The following is a 26631-nucleotide window of genomic DNA, read 5'->3' as shown; positions in this document are numbered from 1 at the left end:
GGGTGACAGCTGTCAGCCACTGTGGGCTGGGGCAAGGAGAAAAGCCTATGGGAGCAGCTTCTTCCTTAGGGGTTGGCTGAGGGGAAGAGCATGGGAGGGCATTTTGAGACGTGGACCTGTGAGCAGAACAGATGAGCCTGGGAGACACAGGCCATGTGACGTGCCTGGAAGATGAAGTGTCTGCAGAGGAAGATGTTGGTCAGGTTCACTTGCAAGAAACTGGAACAGAGTGTGTATTCTGACATCACAGTGGCTGTCTTCCAGCACGATTCCCTGGGGTCCCGCGGCAAGGGGGTTGTTCTTCAGTATCCACTCTCCTCTTCTTCCTTTGGCATGAAGCCCCTCTGTTGGGTTGAATTGTGTCTTCTCCAAAGATAGGCTGAAGTTTTAACTCCTGGTACCTGTAAATATGGCCTTATTTGGAAATAGGAACTTTGTAGATGTCATCAAATTTAAGATGAGATCATACTATGTTGGGGGTGGGGCCCTAAATCCAATGGCTGTTGCCTTGATAAAAGAAAAGATTTAGATACAGAGACACAAAGGCCATATGACAACGGAGGCAGAGACTGTAATGATGCAGCTACAAGTCGAGGAGTGCCAAGGATTGCCAGACACCAGCAGAAGCTAAGAAAAGAGGTATGTGGGACAGTTTCTCTTTCAGAGACTCCTGAAGGAACCAGCCCTGCTGACACCTTGATTTCAGACTTCTGGCTTCTTGAACCATGAGAGCACAAATCTCTGTTGTTTTAAGCCATCCAGTTTGTGGAACTTTGTTATGGCAGCCCCAGGAAACCAATCTACCACCTAAATTGTGCTCGGCAACCAGCCACCCAACAGAAAGACTACATTTCCCAGCTTCCCTTGCAGCTAGGTAGCTGTGTTCTGTTACTAGGTTCTAATTACTGGGATGTGAGCCCAAGTCATGTGTGCAACTTTCTAATTGTGCCTTTAAACAGAAGGGAAGGGTGGTGCCTTGCCTTTGCTCCTTCCTTGCTCTTTCCAATCTTTCTGGCTGGGACGTGTGTGTAATGGTGGAGCTACAGCAGCCATATTAGATTGCAAAATGGAAACCTCATGCCAGGCAGTCAGGGTTGTGTGTTAGGAGGAACCTGGGTTCCTCATCTTGCAGAGCTGCCCTATTGCCTTGGATTTTTTATGCTTGAATTCTTGTGTGAGAGAGAAATAAACTACCATGTTAAACCACTATTATTTTGACACTTGTTATAGCAACTGAATGTTTTCCCTGTGTCATGTGATTCTCCTGTATACGCCAGAGCTCTGCTTCTTTGCGGCTTCTCACAGGTATTGATATTTGAAAAGGACATCTGGCCCCACTGTCAGGAGGAACAATGTTTTGTGTTTTTAAAAAGTATTAGTTTTATGAAGATGGGAACAGATTGTGTTTAGCCTTTTCTACCCCACCCCCTGACAAAGCTCTTCCATGCAATGGGAAACATCCACGAATGGGCCAGGGCCAGGGGGAGGTTGTTGCCAGGATAAATCTTTCTTATGGGGCTTGAATATGCAACCTTGACCTCAGAATCAGCCAAGTTCACCAGGCTCTGCCTTTCACCCAGCAGATTCCTAGCCAGATTTGGGTTCTTCTAATTCTAATCCTGCCAGCACAGGGGGAAGGCAGGGGAATAAGGTGTCCTTTTGCTGTTTCCAGTCACCAGCTCTTCTTCCCTGGGAGCAGGAATGCCCTTTACAGTCTTCTTGTGTGCAGTGGGGCATTTCTTCTTGAAAATGGTTTATTTAATTTTTCCATGGGATGTATCAGTGAAGCTTTGCAGAGTAAGACTTGTAAAGTGTGTGTGTGTGTGTGTGTGTGTGTGTGTGTGTGTGTGTGTGTATTTGGGTGGGGTGGTGGACAATGGGCAGAGATGTGGAATGGGATGGAAAAGATCTACAATTTACTGAATGTCATCCTATTTTTGGCAAGTGCCTTACCAGACATTACACCTTTAAATTCTCCAGACAGGCCAGGCGCGGTGGCTCACGCCTGTATTCCCAGCACTTTGGGAGGCTGAGGTGGGCAGATCACCTGAGGTCAGGAGTTGAGACCAGCCTGGCCAACATGGTGAAACCCCGTCTCTACTAAAATTACAAAAATTTGCTGGATGTGGTGGTGTGCACCTGTAATCCCAGCTACTTGAGAGGCTGAGGCAGGAGAATTGCTTGAACCTGAGAGGCGGAGGTTGCAGTGGGCTGAGATCGCACCATTGCACTGGGTGACAAGAGCAAAACTCCATCTGAAAAAAGAAAACATTCCCCAGACAATCATGAGAGGTAGAAATTATACTCCATGTCTTAAACATGCGAGAACTGGTACCCACATTTGTTGATCTTAAACATGCATAAACTGGGACACACATAGGTTGATAGCCTGTAAATGGCATTTGACTTCAAACCATATTTGATTTCAATGAATTTTTTCCATACAAATAAATTATACCCTTTGTTTTGTCTGTAAAGCATAATGGAAAAGTAGAAATTCTATAAATATTTGGCTTATGTGATATGGAACTGGCCATTCAGGAAATATGAGCAAAAGAATTCTCTTCAACGACTTGCATTGTTTAGGTGTCTCATCTGCACAGAGAAGTCTACCTCTGCCCTCTCAGCCTTCCTCATCTTCTGGTATCATAAACAAAGATGACAACAACCATCATATTGCTCTTGTTGTGTTAAAGAACATTGATCTCCAAGCCAACGAAGTTAGCGAAAGTTTTTGTTTTAACCCAGTGAAAGTGTTTTTGTTTCCCTGTTTCCTAATAGTTCTTTCAATAGCAAAGCAAAATTTGAAATTAACATTCTAAATTGTCTTTATCCTTTTAAAATCTTATTTATATTAAAATTAATTTCATTACACAAAAGCTTGAATTAAGCATTTCTCTTTACTTGTAGATTCTGTCTGCCAATTTGCATGTGGGCCAACCCATGTAAAAAGGAAAGTTTTTTTTTTCTTTTAAGTAACATTCATTTCCTAGTTTAAAAATTAACAACCAACCAAGAATAGCATTCGAGTGCATTGCCTTCTTATCTTTTCCCTATAATTAAAAATGTGCAATATAATTGTGATGAAACTCTACATTTTTTATCTTCCCACTTCCCACCCCTCACACATACAAATGGGTCCGTGTATGGGTTTAACTGCACACACACACACACGCACATGCGCACACACACACGCACACGCGCGCACACACACACACACTGTCCTCTAACCATAAACTACTTCTTTCTCCTGTCTTTTGTGCATTGCAAATTGGCAGGGGGACAGTGAGGAAAAACATTCTCCTCAGGGCCATCTTCACCTTGCACTGGTGTTCTGATGTCCCAGGGGAAGGTTGAGAAATAGCACCCGTGAGTTGCAGAGGGCAGGACGTTGCTGCCCATAACTCATAACTTCTCCATTGCAGGAGGGACCCTGGCTCCACCCTGGCTCTATCTGTTCTTGGATTGTGACAGAGCAGCCCCCAAAGCCTACAGTTCTTTCCTCTGGGTGTCATAAAGCATTTCAGTGGACAATTTGATCTTTTTCATTTTGCCTGCCTCACCCATGCAACCCCTCTCTGCTCACTTTCAGAATTTCAGAACAAAGCTCTTGGGTCACACAGTTAAGTGTTGGAAAGAATAACCAATTCGAGTGACTTAAAAAAACAACTTCATTGGCTGGGCTCAGTGGCTCACGCCTCTAATCCCAGCACTTTGGGAGGCCGAGGTGGGTGTATCACCTATCAGGAGTTCGAGACCAGCTTGATCAACATGGATAAACCCTGTCTCTACTAAAAATACAAAATTAGATGGGCGTGGTGGCACATGCCTGTAATCCCAGCTACTCAGGAGGCTGAGGCAGGAGAAGCGCTTGAACCCGGAAGGCAGAGGTTGTGGTGAGCCGAGATTGCGCCATTACACTCCAGCCTGGGCAACAAGAGAGAAACTCTGTCTCAAAAACAAACAAACCCCCAAATTTTATTGAGGTATAATTTGTTTATCATAAGATTCATCTATTTTAAGTGTATAGTTGGATGAGTTTAGTAAATTTATACAGTTGTGCAACCATCACTAAAATTGTTTTAGAACTTTTTCTGTCTCCTCAAAAAGTTCCCAGGGACCCATTCGCAGTGAGTCTCCACTCCCACCCCCCAGTCCCAGGGAACCACTGATCTGCTTTCTGTCTCTACTGATTTTCCATCTTTAGAAATATCAGATAAATGGAATCATATAATATTTACTTTTTTTTTTTTGAGTCAGATTCTCACTCTGTCACCCAGGCTGGAGTGCAGTGGTGCCATCTCGGTTACTGCAACCTCTGCCTCCCGGGTTCAAGTGATTCTCCTGCCTCAGCCTCCAAAGTAGCTGGGATTACAGGTGTGTGCCACCATGCCTGGCTAATTTTTGTATTTTTAGCAGAGATAGGGTTTTGCCATGTTGGCCAGGCTGGTCTTGAACTCCTGGCCTCAGGTGATCCACCTGCCTTGCCCTCCCAAAGTGCTGGGATTACAGGCATGAGCCATCTCACTTGGCCAATATTTCCTTTTATGCCTGGCTTCTTGCACTTAGCATATTTTTTTGAGCTTCATTCATATTGTTGCAGGTAACAGTAGTTGGCTCCTTTTTATTACTAAATACTATTTCATTATATGGATATACCACATTTTGTTTATCCATTCATCTGCCGATGAACATTTGGGTTACTTCCACCTTTCAGCTATAGTGAATAATGCTGCTATGAACATGGATGTAAAAATATTTGTTTGAGTCTCTGTTTTCACTTTTTTGGGGGTATATACCTAGAAGTGGAATTAACGAATCCTACTGTAATTCTATGTTCATACATCACGTCATTTTCCACAGCTACTGAGCCATTTTACATACCCACCAGCAACACACTAGAGTTCCCATTTCTCCATATTCTCATTAAAATTTCTTATTTTCTGTCTTTTTGTTAGTAGCCATCTTAATGGGTATAAAGTGGTATTTCATTGTGGTTTTGATTTGCATTCCCCTAATAATTAGTGATGTGGAGAATCTTTTCATATGCTTATTGATCACTTGTTATCTTTTTTGGAGAAATGTTTATTCAAGTCCTTTGCCCATTTTTCAACTGGGTTGTTTGTTTTTTTGTTGTTGAATTGTAGGAATTCTTTGCATATTCTGGCCCTTATCAGATATATGACTTGCAAATATTTTCTCCCATTCTGTGGGTTGCCTTTTCACTCTGTTGATAGTGTCCTTTGATGCACAGAAGTTTTTAATTTTGATGAAGTTTAACTGATCTATTTTTTCTTTTATTGCCTGTGCCTTTGGCATCATATCCAAGAAATCATTGCCAAATCCAACGTCATGAAACTTTTCTCCTAAGAGTTTTATAGTTTTATCGCTTATGTTTAAGTCTTTGATCTATTTTGAGTTAATTTTTGTATACAGTATAAGGTAAAAGTTCAACTTTATTCTTTTGCATGTGGATATCCAGTTTTCCCAACACTGTTGGTTGAAAAGACTGTTGAATGGTCTTGTCATTGAATGGCTTTGGTAGCCTTGTCAAAAACCATTTGACCACAAACCTGGACAACATGGTGAGACACTGTTTCTAAAAAAAAAAAAAAATTAGCCCAGTGTAGTGGTGTGTGTCTGTAGTCCCAGCTATGGGGGATGCTGAGGCAGGAGGATCAGTTGAGCCTGGAAAGTCAAGACTGTAGTGAGCTATAATGGTGCCACTGCGCTCCACCCCTGCAGCCGAGTGAGACCCTGACTCAAAAATTAAAAAACATCGTTTGACCACATATGTGGGGATTTATTTTTGTGCTCTCTATTATATTCCACTGGGTGTCTGCCTTTATGTCAGTACCATACAATTTTGATTACTTTGGCTTTGTAGTACATGTTCAAAGGAGGAAGTAGGAGACCTCCAACTTGGTTCTTTTTCAAGATTGTTTTGACTAGTCAGATATTCCATATGAGTTTTATGGTAGATTTTCCTAGTTTTGCAAAAAATATTGTTGAGATTTTGATAGAGATTGCATTGAATCTGTAGATTGCTTTGAGTAGTATTGAGATCTCAACAATTGCATTGAATCTGTAGGTTGCTTTGAGTAGTGTTGAGATCTCAACAATATTAAATCTTCCAGTCCGTAAACACAGACTATCTTTCCAATTATTTGTGCCTTCTTTAATTTTTTTTAACAACATTTTGTAGCTTTCAGTGTACTAGTCTTTCAGCCCTTTAAATTTATTCCTAAGCATTCTATTCTTTTTGAGGTTATGGGAAGTGGAATTGTTTTCTTAATTTCTGTTTCAGATTGTTCATGGTTATTGTATAGAAGTGAAATTGATTTTTGCGTTCATAACTTTTTTTTTAAAAGAGATAGGGTCTCATTTTGTCACCCAGGCTGGAGTGTAGAGGTACAATTATACCTCAAGGAGTGCACCCTCGAAATCCTGGACTCAAGTGATCCTCCTGCCCCAGCCTCCAGAGTGGCTGGGATTATAGGTATGAGCCACCACACCTGGCTGTTCATAACTTTTTTTTGAGACAGAGTCTCACTCTGCTGTCAGGCTGGAGTGCAGTGGTGTGATCTTGGCTCACTGCAACCTCCACCTCCTGGGTTCAAGTGATTCTTGTGCCTCAGCCTCCCAAGTAGCTGGGATTACAGGTGTGCACCACCACACCCAGCTAATTTTTGTTTTTTTAGTGGAGATGGGGTTTTACCATGTTGGCCAGGCTGGTCTCGAACTCCTGGCCTAAAGTGATCTGCCCACCTTGGCCTCCCAAAGTGCTGGGATTACAGGTGTGACCCACCATGCCTGGCCAATAACTTTTAAGACATTGATCCACCATCATCTGACATCTAGGTTTTCTTTTGAGAAGTTTGACCCATTTTGATTCCTATTACTTTTAATGTACGTGCTCCCTCCACCCCCATCTTGACCCATGGAAGTTGTAGGGATCATCTCTTTATCTTTGATGTTCTGAAATGTCACAGTTATATTCCCTGATGTTGGTCTTTTTCCATTCACTAGAACAGTCACTTGGAGTACCCTCCATGTCCTTTAATTCTGGGAAATTATATTTAATTTTTTCCATCAATAACTTCCTTTGCACAATTTTTCTCTTCTACCTTTATAAAATTCTTGTTATTTGGATTTTAGCTCTTTGTTATTTGGATTTTAGCCCTTTGTGCTTACACCAGATTTTTATATCTCTTTCACTTTTATTTTCTATTTTGTTGCCATTTGGTCATAATGTGTGGGAGATTTCCTTAACTTTTAATTTTAATCCTTCCGAATAATGTTATTTTGGTTATTGGTTTAAATTTGCAAGAGCTCTTTCTTGTTTTCAAGTTGGGCTTTTTAATAGCATTTACTTTTGTTTATGGATGAGAAATCATCTTATCTCTCTGAGGATATTATTGCCTTGTCTATTTTCCTTCCAAATTCCTTTTTTTCCTGTTTGTTTTTGATCGTATCTTCTAGGAGAATATTTCCTCAAGGGTCTGATGGTCCTTGGCCCTGTGTCCATGCTTAAGTGGAGGCTGTTTGTGTGTAGGGGAGGGCCTTCCTGGGGGAGATGAGGTTACCACTGCATCCCACTAGTGTTAATATGTGAGGGTCTTTTTCTTTCTACCCTGGAAGTGTCATACAATCTCCTGCTCCAGAATTCCGGTGATGTGTGTGAGGGCGTTCTCAGCTGCTTGCAGCCCAGAAACAGAGCAGGAAAGGGCTGGCAATTTCATGTTTCTCCATGTAAAGAATGAACTTTCACCAAATTTCCCTATTGTTACTGTTGTACTGTCTTTGCCTTGCGCCTGTCCTTTGGTGATCCCATTTCTCTGAATTCAGAACCTCTTCGGTTTACATTTTTTTTTTCCAGAAAAAACCTTACAGTTTCCTAGGGAAAGGTGGATGCCTGGCTGCCTGCATTGGTGAAGACTCCTGGGAAGTCCACATGCTCCAAATATCGGCTTCCGATCATTTCCCTTCTTTTCACCTCAACTCCCATGACCGCAGGGTTGTTGGCTGAAAGTTGGTAGATGAGCTTACGAGCTTGCTAACACCACACCATTTTGAATACATTGGCTTTGTATTTAATATCTCATGAGGCAAGTCCCTCCATGCTACTCTTAATTTTCTTGGCTATTGTTAGATGTTTTGATATGAGTTTTTAAAACAATCACAAATACTTTAAATCTGTAGAATGGTTCGGATCTACACATATTTTGTAACAATTTAACTTCATGTCCCAAATAACTCTGTTGGGATTCTAATTGAATTCTTATTCATTCTTGCATCTCTAGTGCCCTGCCAAGGGCCTGGATCATGTTACGCTTTCAAAAAACATCTGTTAAATGGAAATAAACCTCTGATCCCAACGCCTATGCTTTTTCTATTACATGGTCCTGTCTGATTTGTGCTCAGATCACAGAGCCAGCTGGTAGCAGAACCAGAAGAACTCAGGCCTCGTAACTCACCAGTCAGTACTTTTTATACCATACTTGTACCTGTAAACCCATTCTTAGCTATTACACACAGCCCAGTATAAAGGCCAGGCCAGTGTGAACAAAAGGTGATAAAGCCACAGAAATGAAAGCATTTTAAAACCCTGATGAAATCTCTCTGCCTGGATCAGACCTTCCCACTTCCATGCTAAGCTTCTGTGTGGGGTAGTAGGACAGGCAGGTGATGCCTCCAGCCCAGATGGATACATTTATGGTGGGGCACAGGAAAGGCTATCAAGTTTGTTTATGTTTTCCCATAGGAGGGGCCATATTTCTATGGTATAAAGATGAGTGCAAAAGTAAGATGGTTTATCTGCCATGTCTGATCCATGTGGAGTTTAAGTAATAAAGTTTATTAGTGCCCCTGATTTAATATGACACATTTCCAGTGCAAATTACTCTGAGATCATCGTGTTCATAAAATATGACAGAAATCTTTTAAGTGTGAGCATAAGTTCTGAATTAATTTAATAACCCAGTCTGGAAAAAGGCATGTGGTTTAAAACATAACATTATGCACTGGACTCCTGCTTTCTCTTCCAGCCACTCCCATCCCCGTGCCTTTTTTGAAAAGCCCATCTTTGTGTCCAAGTCATCTGACCTCTTCTCAGAGTTCAGGGTTTTACCTTCTCCAGGAGGTTAGTGTGGCTAAGGAGGGAGGATTTGTCCCCGTACCTGGGGGCAGAAGTTGGTTTTAATTCTTAATGACACCTGCCCCAAAGGAATGGACAGGAGCTGCCTTGAGAATAGTGCTTAGTCTCTGTGATTTACTGCCCTTTGGTGGGGCTGGGAGGCAGTGGGAGAGGAGGCATGGCATAGACATAACATTAGAGGGCTGTGGTTTTGGGGAACATGAACACCACCCCCTTTATCTTTCTAGATGGGGAAAAAATTATGGCATCAGGACACATGCCCCAACTGTCAAATGCATGTGAAATCCCTGTGGGAATTATGAAGTGTAAGTCATGGTTCTATTTATCTTGTGGCAATGTAAAACACAACATACACACACATGCACACACAAACATACATATGCATACACACATACACACACATGCACAAACACACACATGCACAAACACACATGGGTGCACACACGCACACTCACACACATGCAAGCTTTTATCAAGATAGAAAATGAAAATAAAGAAAAGCAATGGGCACTTTGGTCTAACTCAACCAGTGTGACATTTGGCCTTCCCACGACCAGGCCTGTGACCACCGTGTCAAAGCAGCCCACCCACCACGTTCCTCCTCCTGCTTGGATGGTGCAGGCCTGGGCCTGCTACCTTGCCCACTCACTCCCTGTGGGCAATTCCGGGCAGTCCTGTCCCTTTTGTGGACCTTAGGGCCCCACTTAGTGCTGTCTGCTAAGTAGGCGAGGACACTAGACCAAGGGAACCTCCTGAGACGTGCTCTGGTGCCAGCCTCTGGTCCCTGCTTCAGCATCCACGCAGAGCCCGGAGGGCACCCTGCATGCCCGGAGCTAAGTCCTTTTCCCTGACTGTGCTGCCTGGAACACAGAACAGGGCAACATGCTCCAGGTGGATGAGCTCCTCAGGGGAAGCCGCCACCAGGTCAGAATGGGTGCTTTCCCACAGCACCAGACCTCACCCGAGGGGCACTGCGGAGGGTGGATGCCATTCCTATTTCAGGTTTCCCCTGTCCTCTAGGAGCTGCCAGCAGCAAGAGCTCAGAGCAGGTTTTAACAAGAGGCCTCACATCATTCCTCTCAGGGGGAAGTCCGAAGAGTGGTACCTGCCGTCTTCTCAACCCATAAGCAGGAGCTGTTGGAGGGGCCTTCACCACTCCACCTCCCACAGCAGCTCCGTGGGCCTAGGGTTCTGAATCACTGTCTCCTCTGTGCCTTGGTTGGTCTGAATGCCCCCACCTGGATTGCCTTTTTCCCTGTAACGAAGCCTTCTGCTCCCTCAAAGTGGGACTGTTCAAGTCCCACTTCCTCCCTAAAACACTCCCCCCAGAAGCAGCCAACAACGATGTCTTTTCACGTGTCTGTGGAGGGGAGGAGAGCTGCAGGGTGGTAATGAGGGCTGACCACAGTCCCAGAAAGATTGTGCAGGCTGGACCTGGGTCTGCTCTCCATTCGGAGGCCACCGCTGCCCCCAATACCTCTCCCAGTGTAAGACACGTGGTAGACAATCAGCCCTGCACGAAGAATGACTGAACGTGCCGTGCATGTGTCCTGGAGAGGGGACAACGCAATTCCATGGACCTGCCACACGAGGATTCCTTGCCGTCCAGGGGTGCTCTGGGAAGTGGTTGAAGTCATGGGCTCTGTTCCCAATCCTGGGCTTTCTCTCCTTGGGATGGAAGGGGAGGGCCGGCGTGTCAGCATCACAGGTCACACCATGTCATGCAGAGCCTCATTTGACTTCCAGGCCAATGGCAACATTTTGTTACCTCCCTGAGAAGCTCCACTTGAAGACGACAATCTACATTTGCTTGTGTTCAAATAATGCATTCCAGATCAGGGCCAGCAGCAGCTCTGAGGCAGACACTGGTATTTACTGCATAGATAAAAACCCCCTTCCTGACAGAATGGAGATTTCTCAAGAACTAAAAATAAAACTACCGTTCCATCCAGCAATCCCACTACTGGGTATCTACCCCAAGGGAAATCATTGTGTAAAAAAATACCTGCACTCATGTTTACTGCAGCATATTCGCAATAACAAAGTTAAGGAATCAAGCTAAGTGTTCATCAATGAAGGACTGGATACAGAAAATGGAATACTGTACAGCCATAAAAAAGAATACAGTTGGCCAGGCACAGTGGCTCACACCTGTAATCCGAGCACTTTGGGAGGCCGAGGCAGGTGGATCACCTGAGGTCAGGAGTTCGAGACCAGCCTGGCCAACATGGTGAAACCTCGTCTCTTCTAAAAATACAAAAATTAGCAGGGTGTGGTGGTACGTGCCTGTAATCCCAGCTACGTGGGAGGCTGAGGCAGGAGAATCGCTTGAACCTGGGAGGCGGAGGTTGCAGTGAGCTGAGATTGTGCCCTTGCACTCCAGCCTGGGCGACAACAGCGAAACTCTGTCTCAAAAAAAAAAAAAAAAAAAAAAAAAAAAAAAGAAATCATGTCCTTTGCAGCAACATGGATGGAACTTATCCTAAGTGGAATAACTCAGAATCACAAAGTCAAATACTGCATGTGGTCATTCACAAGTAAGAGCTAAACAATGCATACACACAGACATACAGAGAGGGGAGTAATAGACGTTGGAGACTCCAAAGGGTGGGAGGGTGGGAGGCTGGGAGGGAGGTGAGGGCTGACATATTACCTATGGTGTACAGTGTTCACTATTTGGATGATGAATACACTAGAAGCCCAGACTTCATCACTATGCAATAGATGCACCTAAGAAATCTGCACTTTTGCCCCCTAAGTGTGTGAAAATTAAAAAATTAAAAACAACAACAACAACAACACTTTTCTTGTATCCAGAAGACATGCTTTCAGGGAACTCCTTGGGAGAAGTCCCACCAACTCTCCAGGTAAGGTCACCTCATTTTAAAGTCAGGGAGCCAAACATGGGGAGAAACTCCCCTTTCCACCTGCCTTCCACTCTCCCTTCATTGCCACGGGGTGACGGCACTGTGATGCAGACAGCATGATTATTGGGTCCCCAGTTTAAGGACCACCTCTTCTCAAGGTGAAAATCATTTCCCAGTTTGAGTTGGACACATGATTCCTGCAGACTTGGATATTGAGGCCCAAGGCATTGGCCATAGGGTGATAGGTTTGGATCCGTGTCCCCACCAAATCTCATGTTGAATTGTAATCTTCAATGTTGGAGGTGGGGCCTGATGGGAGGTGATTGGATCATAGGGGTGGATCCTTCATGAATGATTTAGCACTGTCCCCTTGGTGCTGTTTTTGTGATAGTGAGTTCTCATGAGATCTGGTTGTTTAAAAGGGTGTGGCGTCCCCTCCTCTCTCTCTTGCCCCTGCTCTGGCTGTGTGACATGACTGCTTCCCTTTTACCTTCCCCCATGATTGGAAGCTTCCCCAGGTCCCCCAGAAGCTGAGCAGATGCCAGCACCATGCTTCCTGTACAGCCTGCAGAACCGTGAGCTCATTACATCTCTTTATAAATTACCCAGTCTCAGGTATTTCTTTATAGCAATGCAAGAATGGACTGCTACACAGGGATAGCCCGCTGGGACACCAACCCAGGCTGCAGGCGTGTGGATTTGCCCTCCCGAGGAGGTGTTCCTGTTTCCAGGTCCTTGGTTTCCCTGCCTGTGAACTTTGTGTGGAAGTTGGGGATGGTCACTGGGTGATGGAGTTGTGATGCATGCTGCAGGACACCTTCTCCCGTCCTCCCTCTCCCTCCAGCACTGTCCTCATGGCCTGTCCCTCTCCACAACTGCTCTTGCTGCCCTCTGTGCCAGCAGGATGGACAGTTTCTTCTTTGGTGTTCCCTGTTCTAGCTTCATTATTTTATTCCTATCTTTTTGCATGTGTCTACCTCTATCTCTAACCTGCGATTCCTCCCAGCGAGGCACAGTGTCATAGTTAGCTCTGTGTCCAGTGCAGTGCGCAGACCTAGCAGGTTCACTGAGTAGATGAATAAATTTATAAATATCCATTGCTGCCCGTCCTTCAAGGCCAACCTCACTTTCTATCGCCTCTTGTCCAATTTTTTCCAGACCTACGATCTCTCAATTCTTACCCTTTATTCAACAAATATTTATTCATTTATTTAATTTTATCTTATTATTTATTTATTTATTTATTTACTTATTTGAGATGGAGTCTCACTCTGTCACCGAGGCTGGAGTGCAGTGTCACGATCTTGACTCACTGCAACCTCTACCTCCCAGGTTCAAGCGATTCTCCTGCCTCAGCCTCCCAAGTAGCTGGATTACAGGCATGTGCCACTACGCCCGGCTAATTTTTGTATTTTTTTTTAGTAGAGACGGGGTTTCACCATGTTGGCCAGGCTGGTCTGAAACTCCTGATCTCAAGAGATCCGCCCGTCTCAGCCTCCCAAAGTGCTGGAATTATAGGCATGAGCCACTGTGCCCCACCCCTATTGACTTCTTTACATATCAAAAACAGTTATCTTTTGGCTTATTTATTAAAAGTGTATTTCCTGGTTTATCTTTTGCCTTTTAATTTGGCTAAGTATCCGATTCCTAAAGCTAGAAAGAGTCTTTGAGGACTTTTTTTTTTTTTTTTGAGACAGAGTCTTGCTCTGTCACCCAGGCTGGAGTGCAGTGGTGCAATCTCAGCTCACTGCAACCTCCACCTCCTGGGTTCAAGCAGTTCTCCTGCCTCAGCCTCCCAAGTAGCTGGGATCACAGGTGCATGCCACCACGCCCGATTATTTTGTATTTTTAATGGAGATGGGGTTTCACCATGTTGGCCAGGCTGGTCTTGAACTCCTGACCTCAAGAGGTCCAGCCAGCCACCTCAGCCTCCCAAAGTGCTGGGATTACAGGCGTTGCGTGAGCCACCGCACTGAGGATTTTTTTTTTTTTGAGATGGAATCTTGCTCTGTCGCCAGGCTGGAGTGCAGTGGCACAATCTCAGCTCACTGAAACCTCCACCTCCCAGGTTCAAGTGATTCCCCTGCCTCAGCCTCCTGAGTATCTGGGACTACAGGCACCTGCCACCACGCCGGGATAATTTTTTGTATTTTAGTAGAGATGAGGTTTCACCACGTTGGCCAGGGTGGTCTCGATCTCCTGACCTCATGATCCACCCGCTTCAGCCTCCCAAAGTGCTGGGATTACAGGCATGAGCCACCGTGCCCGGCCGAGGACTTTTAATTGAACTCTTTCACCTGGAAAACAAGGAATCTAACACCAAAATATTCAAATGACTCCCAAGTAGCTTACAGCATTGGCAGTAGTGTGGCTAGAACATCGGTTCCTGGATTCTCAGTGTTCAGAACCCTTGATCTTTCCCGTGTCAATACACAGGACTGATCGTAGATCACTGTTCTTTGCTTCCTAGTAGTTTTGTTTCTATTAGTTTTGCCTTCCTATAAAGAAGGCAGGGATTGTCCCTCATAGCTACTCTCCATCCCCTCCACCTGGCTCCCAACTCCTGCTTCCTGTGCATTCCTGAACCTCTGCTAGGAATTTAGCCGTTCCTTAATAAACGCTTGTTGGTTAATACACTGCTTTTAGAAGAGTTATCAATAACAGATATACAAAGGATTTCATTTGATGCTTAAAATAAATCCATGAAGAGGGCGAGGCTGATATCTACATCCCTGTTTTATAGATGAGGAAACTGAGGATCAGAGAATTCAAGAGTCTTATTCAAGATCGCACAGCTAAACCCAGGCAAAGCAGAACTGCAATAATGCTCCCTTCCACCTGCCTTCTGCTCACCCTTCACCACAGTGGAGTGGCGGCACTGGCTTCTTTGGTCTTGAAGCTCCTGTTCATTCTTCTGTACTGAGCTCTGCCTCCCAAAGGCTCCCTTGCTCCTCCTCTACGCCCCCTGACTGGGGGAAATGGCTGGCAGGTCTTTCTGATGCTTGGATGGGTTGAAGAGGGGGAAGCCAGAGGCACCGGGTCACCCCCTTCCATGCAAGGAACTGGGTGACAGAGCTAGATCTTGATCGAGTTTCCTGAGGGAAAAATCAGAAGCCCACAAAAAGGAGCACAGCTTCATAGGACGTGGGGAGGTCAAGCAGCCTGGGTTTTGTGTTTTTCCCCCCGTTTTAAAAATGGAGGTGAAATTCATATAAAATTAAGCCTTTTAAAGTGAACAATTCATCCACATTCAGTCACTCACAATGTGGTGCAACTCCACTTCTGTCTAGCTGCAAAACCCTTTCCTCACCCCAAAACAAAACCCTGCAGGCGTTAAGCAGTTCTTCCCTGTGAGTCCACTTTCTGGCTCTATGGATTGACCTATTCTGGATATTTCAGGAAAACGGAATCATATGCCTCCTGTCCCTGGCTTCTTCCACTTGGCATCATGTTTTTAAGGCCCCTCTGTGTGTGGCATCGACGCTTTATTCCTTCTATGCCTGAACACCAGCATAAGTGTATGCCACAATGTGTTATCCATTCATCTGTTGGCAGACAGATGGGTTGTTTCTACCTGGCATGGGTTTTGAGGACAAAAGCTTATGTGAGTCAGAATCCCTTCAGTTACCCTAAAACCAACTGTTTCTGGACCCTGCCCCAATCTCTGGGTGAAAATGCATTTCTTAGGCCGAATGCAGTGGCTCAGGCCTGTAACGTCAGCACTTTGGGAGGCCAAGGCAGAAGGACCGCTTGGGGCCAGGAATTTGAGACCAGCCTGGGCAACATAATGAGACCCCTATCTCCATAAAAAAAAAATTAAAATATTAGCCTGACATGGTGGTGTGCACCTGTAGTCCCAGCTATTTGGAAGGTGGGCAGATGACTTGAGCTCAGGAGCCTGAGTCCAGCCTGGATAACATGGTGAAACCCTGACTTGGAAGGCTAAGGCGGGCAGATGGCTTGAGCTCAGGTGTTTGAGATCAGCCTGGGTAACATGGTGAAATCTGTCTGTACGGAAAATACAAAAATTAGCCAGGTGTGGTGGTGCACGCCTATAGTCCCAGCTATGGGGGAGGCTGAGGCGGGGAGATTCCCTTGGGCCCAGGAGTTCGAGGCTGCAGTGAGCTCTCATCATGCCACTGCACTCCAGGGCGACAGAGCAAGACCCCATCTCTTAAAAAAAAAAAAAAGAAAAGAAGAAAATGCTTCTCTCGAGATGAGAGGTGAGGACCCTGTTGGATCGTAAAGTGGGCTCCAGGTGGAGACTCTGAGATCTGAGTAGGTTGGGAATTTCCAGGCCCTTGGCCCTGGTGTCGGTGGCTGCAGGTACACAACGAGGACCATGGACTCTGTCGTGGGTCTTAGTCGAGGGCTGCTCTTCTGATCCTCCCACAGGTGGGAAGAAGCCACCCGTAATCACCTCTCTCTTCCACTTCGTTAACAGCTTCAATTAGCCAGGAGCCGGTGAGGCTCCATCAGCTGCCTGCATCAGCAGCAACATTAAGCTGCCACATTTATGAACTGCCCAGTGAGTTCTGGGAGGAACTTTGCATATTTTATATTTAATAACTTGTTTCTCATTTTTATTGATCATGTTAATAATGATTTGGGGGGTGCTCTGGGAGAGCGTACGAAAAGAGAGAAAGAAGACAGCGACGTCGACACAGAGAGATGGCAGTTCCTATGACAAAGGGATGAGCATTCTCCCTCCTGCTTTCACCTGCCCCTGCCTCAACCTCCGCAACAGGTGTGAGGCAGCCTAGCACCACTGAGGCAGCGGGGGCTTTCTGGCAACGCAGACTGCTCTCTCCGGAGGCCGCATGACCAGGGAGCGGCGGTGAGGTTGGTGTGGGGTGGGAGGTGTCTTTGTGTGTTCAGCAACCTCTCCTGCCTGCTGATAATGTTTCTACCCTCTGATGGGGCTTTTTTGGGGTCCAGGAGCACTTGAGGGGCTTTAGGAGGGCCAGTCCTCGAAGCAGGCCTCTCCTGACCCCCTTCCTTCACATCCACAGGCCTGCCCGGGAGCTTCTTCTGTGATCCGTCTGTGGGTGGAGGAGGCGTCGGATCAGGCAAGGGAAACTGGGTTTTTGCCTCAGGAGATGTTTCACACGCTGTTTGCATTGTGGGTTTTGCTTGGAGAGTCCCTTAGCATCTATCAAAATGAGTGTTTTAGTGGCTCGCCAATGAACAACTCTTCATTTTTTTTGGTGGTTGTTGTTGTTTCTTTTTTAGAGACAGGGTTTGACTCTGTTGCCTAGGCTGGAGTCCAGTAGTGCAATCATAGCTCACTGAAGACTCGAACTCCTGGGCTCAGGGGATCCTCTTGCCTCAGCCTTGTGAGGAGCTGAAACTACAGGCATGTGCCACGACACTTGGCTGATTTTTTATTTTATTTTTTTGTAGAGATGGGATCTTGCTCTTTTGCCCAGGCTGGTCTCAAACTCCTGACCTCAAACGATCCTCCTGCCTCGGCCTCCCAAAGTGTGGGATTACAGGTGTGAGCCACTGCGCTCAGCTTTGTGACTCCTTATTTTGGATTTGAAGACACTAGGGTCCAGAGAGGTTAAGTGACCTTCCCAAGGTCACCAGCTGTTGGGTAGTAGCACTGGAGTCAGCCCAGGGCTTCTCCACTTCAGGGTGGAATAGTAGGGATGCTTAGGCTCTTAGATCACCTGGCCTGGCCTCAACCCCTAGCTCCACCTCTGACTCTCTGTGTGACCTTGGGTAAATTATTTTGCTTCTCTGATTCTCAGTATGCTCTTCTGTAATACAGGAATAATGAGAATCTCCATCTCACAGGATTGCTGGGATCCCATTCATGAGCACACTTGGTAAACAATACATCGCCATATGCATACTACTTATTGATTGCTTTTTACTAAAAAGCCTCCCCTGTCATGCAGCATTGCTGGATAGAGTCCAGAACAGGGGTTTACAAATTTTCTCACAAAAGGCAAGTGAGTATATATTTTAGGTGTGGTGTGCCTTCTGATTTCTGTTTTAACGACTCTACTCTGCTGTTGTATTTCGAAAGCAGCCATGCACAATGCATCAAGGAATGGAACTTCTGTGTTTTAACGAAACTTTCTTTATATAAACAGGCTCTGGTTGGATTTATCCTGCAGACTGCAGTTTGTGGATCCATGTTCCAGGGCAGCAGGTTCCTGGGGCGAAAAGCACCAGGATTTTGAGAAAGGAGGGCTGTCTTGTGGGATGGTTCCCTGATCATGGATATGCCGAGACACATCCACTGTACTGCAGTCTGGTTGAATTACAGGACATTTTAAAACAAATTTTTTTGAGACAGGGTCTCTCTGTTTCCCAGGCTAGAGTGCAGTGGTGTGATCATAGCTCACAGCAGCCTTGAACTCCTGGGCTCAAGCCATCCTCCCGTCTTAGTCTCCTGATTAGCTGGGACTACAGGTGCGCACCACCACGCCTGGCTAACTCCTAAATATATACTTTTTTGTAGAAACTGAGCCTCACTATGTTGCCCAGGCTGGTCTTGAACTACTGGGCTCAAGAGATCTTCTTATCTTGGCCTCCCAAGTGCTGGGATTCCAGGCATGAGTCACTGTGCCCAGGCCCAGACATTTTTTCTTTTTCGAGACAGAGTTTTGCTCTATCACCTAGGCTGGAGTGCAGTGGTGTGATCTTGGCTCATCGCAGCCTCTGTCTCCTGGGTTCAAGTGATTCTCCTGCCTCTGCCTCCTGAGTAGCTGGGACTCTGGGCCTGTACCACCACACCTGGCTATTTTGTTTTTGTTTTTTTTTGTATTTTTAGTAGAGACAAGGTTTCACCATGTTGGCCAGGCTGGTCTTGAACTCCTGACCTGAAGTGATCTACCTGTCTCGGCCTCCCAAAGTGCTGAAATTACAGGCTTGAGCCACCATGCCAGGCCCATTTTTTTTTTTTCAATTTCACTTTAATTTCTGGGATACATGTGCAGAACGTGCCGGTTTGTTACGTAGGTATACATGTCCCATGATGGTTTGCTGCACCTATCAACCCGTCATCTAGGTTTTAAGCCCATATGCATTAGGTATTGGTCCTAATGCTCTCCCTCCCCTTCCCCACCACCCCCATATATATATTTTTTAACCTGCAAATTATCACTGCCAAGAAGGTAGTGTTAAAAGCTCATGCGGCCGGGCACAGTGGCTCATGCCTGTAATCCCAGCGCTTTGGGAGGCCGAGGCGGGTGGATCATGAGGTCAGGAGATCAAGACCATCCTGGTTAACATGGTGAAAACCCGTCTCTACTAAAAATACAAAAAAATTAGCCGGGCGTGGTGGCACACGCCTGTAGTCCTAGCTACTTGGGAGGCTGAGGCAGGAGAATCGCTTGAACCCAGGAGGAGGAGGTTGCAGCAGTGAGCCAAGATCATGCCATTACACTTCAGCCTGGGCGACAGAGGAGACTTAGTCAAAAAAAAAAAAAAAAAAAAAGCTCATGCATGCAGCTTCCTGTGGGCATCTCTAAAGGGAACTGTGCAGGCCTGGTCCCCGTGCTGTGTGAGCTTGGCCCAGCTTAGGCTTAGACAACCTATTCACTCCAAGTGCTTTCCTCTGCAACAATCAGGGAAATGGCCCTGTGCTAAAGATTTTGTGGTTAAAGATTATCCTACTTTCCTCCATTGCTGGCTCTTCCCTGGAAGTTTCTATGGCCATTGACCTGGAGGATAAGGCAGGACAAAGGAAGAGGAGGGAGCCCAGAAAATGGTGGATATGGGAGGAGCTGGATGAGCTGCACCATAGCCAGTCACTTCTCGTGTTCACCTGCTATGTGCACACCAGTCTTTGATCTCAGTGTCTCCCAGACACAAGATCTAATCTTCTCCATCATCTTACAAGGTAAATTATGATTGCCCTCATACAGGTGGAGGAGCAGAGACCAAGAGAAGTCAGTTACCTGCCCAAGGGAGTGAGGGTGGGGGTGAGATCCAGCCTGGGTCTATGTGATTTCCAGGCTCATTATCTTTCTACCACACCTTGTTGCCAGGCAGATTTATTAGGTCTGCAAAGCTCATCAGAAATGCATTCACCTGCTCCCTCCACTCCCTCTTTCTCTGGGGCAAACATGAGAGGTGGGGTGATAGGGTTGGAAAAGAGTAGACTGAATCCAGCATCCAAATCCGGGTTCATTCGACCTTGGGCAAGTCACAGCCGCTCGCTGGGCCTCGGTTTCCATATCTGTATCCTGAGATAGACTTGAAGGTACCTTTCAGCCCTGTGATTCTCAGAGCTTTTCTGCAAATAGCCTGTGGTGGCCAATATGTTCTTCTTTCTTCTCCCTGTCTGGCTGCTGGATGGGAGGGAGGGAGAGAGGGAGGCAGCTGGGAGGCAAGGTCAGTCAATTCTGAGACAAGACCAAAGCCTAAGAGATAGGGAGTGGCGTGCTGAAAGATGATGGCTGGCAAAAATCATTAGAAGCATCTTTCAACAATCTATATGCTGTTATCGATCTTGTTATAGATCACCTTCTTCCATTCCTCCCCCTACCTTCTTTTCCCCCCCAAGATCTTCTGGATCAATACAGCAAGTGCATTGAGACTGTAGCAACACATTTAAAACCTTATAAAAGGTTATTTAGTTGCTAACAGTGCAGTGGTTTCTGCAAAGCCTGCCAAAAGGTTACAGCTTTTTGGAGATCATAAATTACAGACGACAGGAAAAAAGTAAGTGCGGTTTTCTTTATTGTCTTGATGATGGATGGACTCCTGAACAAGGCAGAAAATACATCATATCACCTTTAATGGGCGTGCATTTCTGCAGCCATAACTCACAATTTTAAAAGAGAAAATGGTGAAATATGGCGTTGTATATTCCACTTGTGACATATTTATGAGTCCTTGCCTTCTTATAAATACAGTGATTGCTATTTCAAAGCACCATGTCAGGTATGAGCTGAGCACAAACAGCTGGCGCGGCTGAAAAATTATAGCCAGAGTGGACGTTTTCAAAAACTCTCTCTTGCAGCAGTAAATTTACAGTGTTTGCACTAACTGTTATTAAAACCAAATCCATATCTTGGCAACAGGAATCCATTGCTCAGTAACAGCTGGAGTGACAGTGTGCTCCGACAGCTGGGGTGAGCTGTAAACTTGGCTAAGGTGCACATCACCCAGAGAAGGTCACGGGCCTCAGACTAAGACCAGGGGGCTCCCGGGTCTGGAGCCCAGGCCAGGGGCCCTGTTGGACACGCCTCTGTTTCCTCTCTGACCCCCGGGGCCACGCGTGCTGCTTGGAGCTCCTTCCCTCCCTGGGAAGGACCCTTCCCTGACAGTTTTCTGTCGGGGTCTTTGAGCCAGTCAGCCCTGCCCCCTCTCAGTTCCCTCCCCTCCAGCCTGTGAGTCATTCCAGTGTCCAGAGAAGGAGACAACGCAGCCTCAAACAAGGACAGACCATGTGGGTACAGCCCAGAAAGGAAAGACAAAGAACAGAGTTCAGCAGGGCGGGTGTGGGTTGAAGAGGTAGGGAGAGGCCCATTGGGCTTCGGGTTAAAAAAAGAAGGCAGGATTGGCTGGGCGCGGTAGCTCATGCCTGTAATCCCAGCACTTTGGGAGGCCAAGGGAACAGATCACCTGAGGTCGGGAGTTTGAGATCAGCCTGACCAACATGGAGAAACCCTGTCTCTACTAAAAATACAAAATTAACTGGGCTTGGTGGTACATGCCTGTAATCCTAGCTACTCAGGAGGCTGAGGCAGGAGAATAGCTTGAACCCAGGAGGCGGAAGTTGCGGTGAGCTGAGATGGTGCCATTGTACTCTAGCCTAGGCAACAAGAGCCAGACTCCGTCTCAAAAAAAAAAAAAAGGCAGGATAAAAAAGGCCAGATTATTATCTATGCAGTAATAATACTGTTCAATCCCACCAACATTTGTTGAGCCCCTATTATGAGCTAGGGATAATTTTAAAGGTTGGAAATACAAAACTGAATTATAGGCATTGTTTTTACTTTCAAGGAGCTTACAGTCTATAGACAGTCTGAGATTCAGCTAGTAATACTGTGTCTTGCCTATTTTTGTATTTTATGCATTCTAAATAATTTCCTCATTTGCTATTTTATTTTATTTTTTTGAGACGGAGTCTCTGTCATCCAGGCTGGAGTGCAGTGGTGCAATCTTGGCTCACTGTAACCTCTACTTTCCAGGTTCAAGGGATTCTCCTGCCTCAGCCTCCTGAGTAGCTGGGATCACAGGTGTGTGCCACCACGTGGGCTAATTTTTTGTATTTTTAGTAGAGACAGGGTTTGGCCAGGCTGGTTTCGAGCTCCTGACCTCAAGTGATCCGCCAGCCTCGGCCTCCCAAAGTGCTGGGATTACAGACGTGAGCCACTGCGCCCGGCCTGTTTGGTATTTTATTTGGATATTTCAGCACCCAAATAAATACACGGCAGCACGGATGAAACTTCAGATATTATGTTAAATGAAAGAAGTCCGATACGAAAGAATATATACCCTGGGACTCAACTTATCTGAAGTCTAAATAAAGATAGGCAAAACAAATCTATGGGGGAAGAAGTCAGAAGAGTGTTTGCCACTGGGTGGTGGGGGGTGTAAGTGAGAGGAGACTCGAAGGAGTTCTGCAGTACTGTAAATGGCTCTATATCTTGGTTTGCATGGCGGGGACACAGGGTACACATAAGAAAAAACATCACTCTGTAAATGTAAGATTGATGCACTTTACACATTTTATATTTGTTATGCCTCAACTCCCTTCACTCCCACCCCACCCCAAGTCAGACACAGAGGACAGGCATCAGTAGCCTTGCTTTGCAGGTGGGGAAACTGAGGCATGGCTTGCCCAGGGATATGCAGTTGGTTTCAGAGGGAGCTCTGATTTCACTCTGGAGCCGACACTTATTTCAGTGACATTCTCACTTGATGGGTGGCCCTCTGAGAGGAAGCCTGCCCACCATAAGTGGGCCTCTTGCTGTGATACAGTGGTTTTCAGACTCTTTCTGGCAGCATAAACATCCCCCTGTCTTACGAACACACTGTCCCACAGAACCCGGATGAAGGAACAGGAAAGATCTGCTCTACGTGACATGGATGAGTGCAGGGACCACTCCTCCTGACAACAGAGTGGTCGTCCGTCTCTACTGTGAACCCGAGGTCTCTGGAGAGTGAGGCTTGAAGACCAGTGGTGCAGTGATTTTAACTCTAGCTTTGCAGTCTAGTCAGAACATTCCTAGTAATATCAAGGTGGCTCACACCTGTAATCCTAGCACTTTTGGGAAGCTAAGGCGGGAGGATCGCTTGAGCTCAGGAGTTTGAGACCAGCCTGGGCAACATATCAAGACCCCATCTCTAACAAAAATAAAAATAATTAGCCAGGTTTGGTGGAGCACACCTGTGGTCCCAGCTACTCAGGAGGTTGAGGCAGGAGGATTGTTTGAGCCTAGGAGTTGGAGGCTGCAGTGAGCTACGATTGTGCCACTGCACTCTAGCTTGGGTGACAGAGTGAGAACATGTATCAAAAAATTTAAAAAAATTTACACAAAAATTTGGGACTAATGATACGTACTCATTCACTCTTTCTTTCAAAATTGGTTGGGGTCCTTCTATTGGCTCAAAGGAGGTATTTGCTAGAACTGTGCAGGGGGCTGGAGATTAAAGTGACAACAATGAGGTCCCTGTTCTTGGGAATTTGCAGATTAGTGAGGGGTCCACTCTGTCTATACTGGCAAGGAGAGATAATTCCACTGTGGCATGGTAGAAGAGGACATCACGGAGGCAGTGATGTTGATGTTGGATCTTGAAGGATGAGTACAAGTTTACCGGGACCAGTAGTTCTAGGGAAGGGAACAGGATGAGCAGAGTTCAGCATGCCAGTAGCTTGGTTTGCAAGGGAGGGTGGCTGGGGATAAGATGGAAAAGGCAGGGCAAAGCCATATTTTGGAAGACATTAAATGTTACCCCAAGGAGTTAGGCTTTATCCTGTCAGTGAAAATAAAGCATTGAAAGTTTTGTCCAGGGGCTGGACATAGTCATTTCTGTGTTGGGGGCTGGACATAGCAAGGTCTGTGTTGGAGCCAGCTGCCTTTGGCAGTGTGTTGAAGCGTGGTTTGCAGTGAGGGGAGACTGACGTCAGAGAGACAGCTAAGTCTGTGATGATCTGAGTGGGAAGTGCGGAGGGTCATGTTGATTACTGTAGCGACTACAAGCTCTGAGAATGTGTGATTCACACTCAAATAGTGATCAAATAACAACAATTTTTCAAAAAGGTTGGGAATAATATAGAGGTCCAATTTAATGTTTCCACCATATTTTTTTTTTCAGGGGTAGGGTACTAGTGTGTATGTGATTTTAATAAAAATATGTTTAAAATCATTAAATACATCTTTTATTTATTTGTATTCGTATATATTCATGGGGTGCAGGTGCAATTGTGCTACCTTGATGTATTGCACTGTGGTGAAGTCAGGGCCTTCAGTGCATCCGTCACTGGAGCAATGCACAGTGTACCCACCAAGCAACCTCCCATCATCCACCCTCTCCCACCCCTTGAAGTCCCCATTGTCCATCATTCCACACTCTGCTTCCATGTGTACACATTATTTAGCTCACTTATTAAGTGAGAACAGGCAGTATTTGCCTTTGTTTAAGTTGTTTCACTTAAGATAATGGTCTTCAGTTCCATCCAAGTTGCTGCAAATAGTATGGCTGAATAGTATTTTTTATGGCTGAATAGTATTCCATGGTGTGCATAGACCACATTTTCTTTATCCAATTTTCCATTGATGGACACTTAGGTTGACTCCGTTTCTTTGCTATTATGAATAGTGCTGTGATAAACACACAAGTGCAGGTATCCTTTTGATATAATGAAAATACATGCTTCTTGTAAAAAAAAATATAGGCAAGAATAAGTTAGGGATGCATGAAAAGTCTGCCTTGGCCTTGCTACTTGTCTCAAATCTGCTATTTGGCTTCAGCTCTGGAGTTGGCCTGCAGAAGGCTGTATAGTTGATGGCAACTTCAATGTCATTTCTTGCATCCCTGAACTTGTATGTGATTGCATTGAATCTAATGATCATAACCATAGCAGTGATATGAACAAGGTATGGCACTGAGATTTATTAATAGCAAAACATTCATTCTGAAATAGAGGCACATCCTCTAGGTGTAACTTGGAGTGGGAATCTCTTTTGTGCTGTAAATTCCATCAAATTCCATCAGTCGGTTGAAGTTAAAATGTGCATTTATAATCATTGCAAGACTAAAGAGCTGCAATAACTGTGAAAGTGAGTGTTGTTACTTTTACGTACAGGAATTATGATGAACTTTCAAATAGTTACATAAATACGGGAAGAGTCAGCACTTAATTAGAGTCATAGGGGAGTAATGCTAGCTAGACAACTTTAGGGAAAACATATCCTTGTATCCTATTTGGGAGCCAAAACTATTATAAAATCCTAAAAAATAACTTTTAATAACTTTTTATTAAAGTTGATTAGCTGATGTCATTAAATCTCATTTTTACAGAATTATTTGTTGTAGCAACATGCATGACATTAAATAAAACAACCTTTCAGAGCTGTTTTTCATTTTTAAATATTTAATTCCCTCGAGGCCAGAAATCTTTCAAGAAAAAGTCTCATTTGAAAATCTTTCACATCTTGTGAGGATGAATAAAAGACAGAATGTCAACTTTGCCGCCTTAAAATTTCAAAAAGAGGAAACATTCCAAAATCGCATACAGCATCCATGATACATGATCCTTGATCCAGACATAAAAGAGAATATAAAAATGAAGAAAAGAGACGCTGTTAGAGAAAAATGGGACTTCCCTCCAAACATCTTGCTCCTCACCCACATGGGTGGAAGTGATCAACCCTCAGTCACTCAAATGGGCACAGGAAGGGCCTTGGATTATCCCTTCAAGCTGGCGGCCCAAGAAAACTGTTTCTGCACCCTATGTCAGCCCTTAAAACTTTACTATAGCTCTAATTCAAAATTGTAATAATAAAATTTGTATTTAAAATTATGCACAGGCTTTGGCCTCCTCTTCAGCTGAACTTTAACACTTGGCCATTTGGCATTCAGCCATAATGTACCTGTAACTGTAATGTACCCCTAAATATAAATTGAAAATCTTTTCTTCCCCCAACCCCTGGTCTCTTCTCCAGAGATTACCACTGGTGCTTAAGGGCCTTGTAATATTTCTATAAAATATTTGTATTTGTTCTTGCAACAGTGGGATCATCCCATATACTCTCCAGTAATTTGTTATGTACCATTACATTAAAGATAATTTAATTCAAACATCTTTCCATGAGACTATGTGTAGCTCTATCTTATGTTTTGTAATGACTTGCATATATTCTGTTGTATGGATGTGGCATTATTTAATGACCCAATCCTTAATTAAAGAACATTTAGTCTATTATCATTTTTTTTGAGAGGGAGTCTCGCTTTGTTGCCCAGGCTGGAGTGCAATGGCACAGTCTCGGCTCACTGCAACATCTGCCTCCCGGGTTCAAGCTATTCTCCTGTCTCAGCCTCTTGAGTAACTGGGATTACAGGTGTTGGCCACCACGCCTGGTTAATTTTTTAAAAATGTTTAGTAGAGACAGGGTTTCACCATGCTGGCCAGGCTGG

The 26631-nt window shown here is 45.1% G+C and overlaps 2 long non-coding RNA genes across 2 annotated transcripts in view, besides 3 other annotated features; both read left to right on the top strand.

Annotated features, from left to right (window-relative positions):
* Positions 1-368: 368 nt before the first annotated feature.
* Positions 369-26631, top strand: part of LOC105379380 (uncharacterized) — a 55679-nt gene continuing 29416 nt past the window's right edge. The window contains exon 1 of the long non-coding RNA XR_949685.3: positions 369-639. This is a non-coding gene — a long non-coding RNA (uncharacterized LOC105379380). The remainder of the gene's footprint in view (positions 640-26631) is intronic.
* Positions 19820-20027: a silencer, noted in NCBI's record as "fragment chr8:37496445-37496652 (GRCh37/hg19 assembly coordinates)". NCBI's record gives its function as "represses an EF-1alpha promoter that drives an FKBP-Casp9 reporter gene in an ReSE screen in K562 erythroleukemia cells {active_cell/tissue: K562}" and the evidence as "EXISTENCE:reporter gene assay evidence [ECO:0000049][PMID:32094911]".
* On the top strand, positions 20176-26299 carry LOC124901931 (uncharacterized). The gene is made up of 2 exons (XR_007060886.1): positions 20176-20242; positions 25603-26299. It is a non-coding gene; the product is annotated as an uncharacterized LOC124901931 (long non-coding RNA).
* Positions 20268-21163: an enhancer, noted in NCBI's record as "VISTA enhancer hs834". NCBI's record gives its function as "enhancer in: limb[6/7] | other[6/7]" and the evidence as "EXISTENCE:transgenic organism evidence [ECO:0001131][PMID:17130149]".
* Positions 21279-21803: an enhancer, noted in NCBI's record as "H3K27ac-H3K4me1 hESC enhancer chr8:37494669-37495193 (GRCh37/hg19 assembly coordinates)". NCBI's record gives its function as "activates a minimal SCP1, AML or CMV promoter by ChIP-STARR-seq in primed H9 embryonic stem cells {active_cell/tissue: H9 hESC(primed)}" and the evidence as "EXISTENCE:reporter gene assay evidence [ECO:0000049][PMID:30033119]".

This window comes from Homo sapiens, chromosome 8, assembly GCF_000001405.40.
Source record: "Homo sapiens chromosome 8, GRCh38.p14 Primary Assembly".
In the NCBI taxonomy this organism is placed as follows: domain Eukaryota; kingdom Metazoa; phylum Chordata; class Mammalia; order Primates; family Hominidae; genus Homo; species Homo sapiens.
This window is presented reverse-complemented; position numbering and strand designations above follow the sequence as displayed.